This window comes from Homo sapiens, chromosome 1 (genome assembly GCF_000001405.40).
Source record: "Homo sapiens chromosome 1, GRCh38.p14 Primary Assembly".
In the NCBI taxonomy this organism is placed as follows: domain Eukaryota; kingdom Metazoa; phylum Chordata; class Mammalia; order Primates; family Hominidae; genus Homo; species Homo sapiens.
Window position 1 is genome coordinate 185,696,234 of NC_000001.11, and position 5,188 is coordinate 185,701,421.

The following is a 5,188-nucleotide window of genomic DNA, read 5'->3' on the forward strand; positions in this document are numbered from 1 at the left end:
TTTATTATGTTCATTTGCTTATATATTATCTTTTTTTTTTTACATTCAATAGCAAATATTGGTGACTCCACCTTACAAACAGACTCAGAATCTAACAACTTGTAATTTCCTTTCATAGCAACCAGCTTTATCCTATTAGAACATGAATCAGATTACTGTTATTCCCCTGCTTAAAAACAGGGATTTTCCGTCACTCAGAGGAAAAGCTTAAGTTCTCATGGTGGCCATCAAGACCTGCTCTAACTGGCCTGTGTTACCGCTCCAACCTCAACTCCTCTACCACCCGTCCTCCTTCTGCTGCAGCTACATGGCCTTCTCAATGGTCTTGGTACAGAAAGGCCTTTGAATTACAGCTCAGTCGGCTTGGAGTACTCTCCTTCCATACACCCACATGGTGTGCTCCCTCCCTCCTTCAGGGTTAGTCAAAACTCATACTTCTTTCTGGCCACACATCTAAAATTGCAACACTCTTCCTACACTTCCAATCCTACTTCACTACTTTACTTTCTTAGCTTTATCCCACATACTATACCTTTTTCTTATGTGTTTCATGTATCATCTGCCTTCCCCCCTACCATGTAAACACCACACATAGTGATTATGCTTGTGTTTTTCACTCTTATTTCTCAGCCCTCACAAGAGTGCCTGGCTCAATAAATAAATATTTGCCAAGTGAATGACTGTCTCACCCATTACATCTTTAAGTCCCTTAGGGCCATGTCTTGTTTGTTTGCATTTCTAGCACCTAGCATAGTGCCTGGCATTTAAAAGAGTTTAAATAAATGTTTGCCAGTTAAACAAATCACTGTTGAAGTACCCTCTTAAGGACTGTCAACATATTGTAATATAAATATGGGATGATTGTATTTATTCTTACTGATTTTAAATATGTGTGCTGTCATTTAAAAATTGTAAAATTATCTTGGCTACATTTCATGTTATTTTTATTGATTTGATTATTGAGTCAGTCTTATTTGAGTACTTAAGACTGTTCATTTGAAAACTTTTTCTTTTTCTTTTTTGATGAGGTCTTGCTCTGTCACCCAGGCTGGTGGCAATGGGGCTATCATAGCTCACTGCAGCCTTGAACTCCTGGGCTCAAGTGATCCCCCTCCTTAGTCTCTCAAGTAGCTAGTACTGTAGGCACGTGCTACCACACTTGGCTAATTTTTTTGTTTTTGGTTTTGTGAAGATGGAGTCTCTCTGTGTTGCTCAGGCTGGCCTCAAACTTCTGGCCTCAAGTGAACAATCCTCCTGTCTTGGCCTTCCAAAATGCCGGGGTTATAGACACAAGCCACCAGGCCCAACCAAAACTTCATTCTTAAATATTATCTAAGACTTCTTCCCTTTCCTTTCCTTAATACTTTCTACTTGGTGATCTGAAATTTGATGTATGTAGATTTTTTTTTCTTTTTGAGACAGGATCGTGTTCTATTGCCCATGCTGGAGGGCAGTGGCACCATCATGGCTCACTGCAGCCTTGACCTCCCAGGCTAAAGCAATCCTTCCACCTCAGCCTCCCAAGTAGCTGGTACCACAGGTGCATGCCACCTGTGGCTAATTTATTTTTTATTTTTAAATTTTTTGTAGAGATAGGGTCTCCCTATGTTACTCAGGCTGGTCTTGAACTACTGGGCTCAAGCAATCCTCCCATCTTCGTCTCCCAAAATGATGGGATTACAGGTGTTTAGCCTTTCTGTCTCTCTCTTTTATAAAAATAAATTTTATTATATATATTTGAGGTTTATAGCATGTTATAGGATACATACAAATAGCAAAATGCTTACTATAGTGAAACAAATGAACATATCTATCATTTTACATAGTTTATTTTGTGTGTGATAAGAGCAATTAAAATCTACTTACTTAGCAAAAATCCCAAATACCATGCAATTTAATTAACAAGAGTCTTCATGTTATATGTTAGATTTCTAGGCTTTATCCTACATATTTACTACTTTGTGTCTTTTAACCTGTATCTTCTTTTATCCCCCACTGCTGTCCTTGGTAACCACTGTTTTATTCTGTCTTATAGTTGACCTTTTTTTCTTTTTTTTTTTAAAAAGGATTCCACATATAAGTGAGGTCATGCAATATTTTTCTTTCTGTGTCTGGCTTATTTCACTTAGCATAATGTCATCCAGGTCTATCAATGTTGTGGCAAATAGCAAGATATCCTTCTTTGTTAAGGCTGAATGATATTCCTCTGTGTGTGTGTGTGTGTGTGTGTGTGTGTGTGTGTGTGTGTGTGTGTATGTCTGTGTGTTTGGCACATTTTCTTTTCTTTTTCTTTTTTTTTTTTTGAGATGGAGTCTTGCTCTGTCGCCCAGGCTGGAGTGAGGTGGCACGATCTCGGCTCACGGCAACCTCTGCCTTCTGGGTTCAAGTGATTCTCCTGCTTCAGCCTCCCGAGTAGCTGGGACTACAGGCATGTGGTACATTTTCTTTATCCATTCCTCTTTAGACAGACATTTAAGTTGTTTCCAGATCATGGCTACTGTGAATAATGCTGCAAAAAACATGGATATCTTTATGAAGTGGTGACTTCATCTCCTTTGGATATATACCCAGAAGAGGGATTGCTGGGTTATATGGTAGTTCCATTTTTAATTTATTTAGGAACTTCTATACTGTTTTCAACAATGGCTGTACCAATCTACATTACCGATAACGCTGTACTAGGGCTCCCTTTTCTCTGCACCCTCATCGACATTTGTTATCTCTTGTCTTTTTGATAATAGCCACCTTAGTGAGTGTGAGATCATATCTCATGGTGATTTTAATTTGCATTCCCTAATGATGTTTCCCTAGTGATTAGTGATGTTGACCACGTTTTCATATACTTGTTGGCCGTTTGTATGTCTTCTCTGGAGAAATGTCTGTTCAGGTCCTTTGCCCATTTTTAAATAAGGTTATTTGTTGTTTTGCTATTGAATTGTTAGAGTTCTCTATAAACTTTGGGTATAAACCCCTCATCAGCTACGTGGTTTGCAAATATTTTTTTCCCAGTCCATAGATTGCCTTTCCATTTCGTTGTTGTTACCTAAATGGACAAATATCCTGTGTATATGGATTGAAAGAATTAATATCGTTAAAATCTTCCTACTGCCCAAAAAATATATATATAGATTTAACACAGTCTCTATCAAAATTCCAATGGCATTCTTCTGAAATAGATAAAACAATGTTAAAATTTGCATGGAACCACAAATAATCCTGAAGAACCAAAACAATACTGAGAAAGAAAAACAAACTTAAAGCCACTCCACTTCCTGAATGTAAATTATATTACAAAACTATATGGTACTGGCATAAGAACAGAGACATAGACCAATGGAACGGAGAGTACAGAGTCCAGAAACAAATCTAAACATATATAGTCAATTTATTTTTAACAAGGCCTCTAAGAGGACACAATGGGGAAAGGATAATCCCGTCCATAAATGGTGCTGGGAAAACTAGATTTCCACAAGCAAAAGTGTGAAATTAGAGCCTTATCTTACACTATATACAAAAATGAACTCAAAATGGATAAAAGACCTACATGTAAGACCTGAAACCATAAAACTAGAATACAACATAGGGGAAAGTTCCTTGACATTCGCCTTGGCAATGATTTTTTGAATATCACACCAAAAGCCTAGGCTACAACAGCAAAAGTAAATAAATGGGATTATGTGCACTTTTTTATACGCTCTTTCTTCTTTTTCTTCCCTTTGGAACTTTCCTCCCACCTCTCCTCAGACCCTAGGTTCCTATGTGTCCTCACAGTGCCTGCTGGAGGCAACTCAGTGGAAACGGAGAGCAAGCTCTGCTCCCCTAACTGATGACAGCCGTAGTTTACAGCATTGTTTCTCAGACTTTCATATGCATATGAAACCCCTACTGGTCTTGACAAAATGCAGATTCTGATTCAGGAGGTTGATGGGTGGGGCCTGAGACTCTGCACTGCCAATAATTCCAAGGTGATGCTGATACTGCGTTTTGGAGGGTCAGACTTGAATAGCAAGTGATAGAGGAGTCCTCTCCTCATTCTGGTTTAGCCTGTTTCTGTCTGATGCTGCTAGCCTTTGCTGACATAGTAGTCTCTGTATAGAGACTTATAGGTGGCTTTTAGGGGTCACTGTTCGTCTTCATTTTGATATCTTTATTGCTGCCAGAGGAAAAGTTCTAAACTCTTCTCTGGGTCAGGCTGTCTGGGCATCCCCTGGTGTTCCTGCTCTTCTGCTAATCTCTGTGCACCTTCATATGAAGCCAAAGGAATGAGAGGAGTGATACTGTGTTATATATCCTCCAAGGGCAATGGAAAACTGGGATGGAGTTGGGGTTTTCCCTGTTTTCTTCCTAGACACATCACAAAACAATCCCATCAAGCCTTGCAGATGTGGTTTCCTACTTCTGGGATCTCTTAATCTAGGAACAGATGTTAAGTAACCCTCCCTTCTTCCCCAGATTGGGAAGCAGAATGTAAAGGCAAACATGCCACATGCTTTTTTGCTGAGAATGCTCTTTATTCAAGGATGGCCTCAACAAGCCTGGCTCCTGTGCCAGGATGAATGTGAACTTGTGGTCTCTACAGCCCAGGGTGGATCTTGCCAGAAAATAATGCCCATTCCTGCAGGCACCTTTAAGGATTTTCTCAGAGTTTCTTTCACTTGCCTTCTGGAAGGAAAATCTCCCACTACCTCCCCAGTAGAAGGTGGGGTTATAGCACTCTTTTCACAGACATTTGCTCCTTGAAACCGTAGATGACGATTTCTCTGAGTCTTCTTATAAGACCTGGCAGTGCCCTCACCCCATGACCTTTGCTTCCATTTGTTGCTCCTCCTTTTTCTCTTTGTTTCTCTCTGGCTTCAGCCTGGACTCAAAACTGGGTCCAAGGGGCAGGGGTGCTTCCTTGGTCCTCTTCCCCAAGAATGAAGCAATAACTCATCACCCCTTCTCTCACCTACTGATCTTTTCCTCCTTTCTCTCCATACAAGTGACGTGAGCTCTGCCCTTCTTCCTCCAATCCAGTTTCAAATGACAAAGTGCCACCACTTCCCCTGGCTCAGAACCTACTTTCACTAAAATTCAAATCCTTACTATCACCACCACCACCCCATAGTCATCAGTTCTGCATCACCTACAGCCTGACTCTCCAACTGCAGTCTCACCCCAAGATTTTACATAGGTTGATGCCAGTTAT

At 40.2% G+C, this 5,188-nt stretch overlaps 1 annotated feature.

The window, feature by feature from the left end:
• Positions 3,576-4,237: an enhancer, noted in NCBI's record as "OCT4-NANOG hESC enhancer chr1:185668941-185669602 (GRCh37/hg19 assembly coordinates)". NCBI's record gives its function as "activates a minimal SCP1, AML or CMV promoter by ChIP-STARR-seq in primed H9 embryonic stem cells {active_cell/tissue: H9 hESC(primed)}" and the evidence as "EXISTENCE:reporter gene assay evidence [ECO:0000049][PMID:30033119]".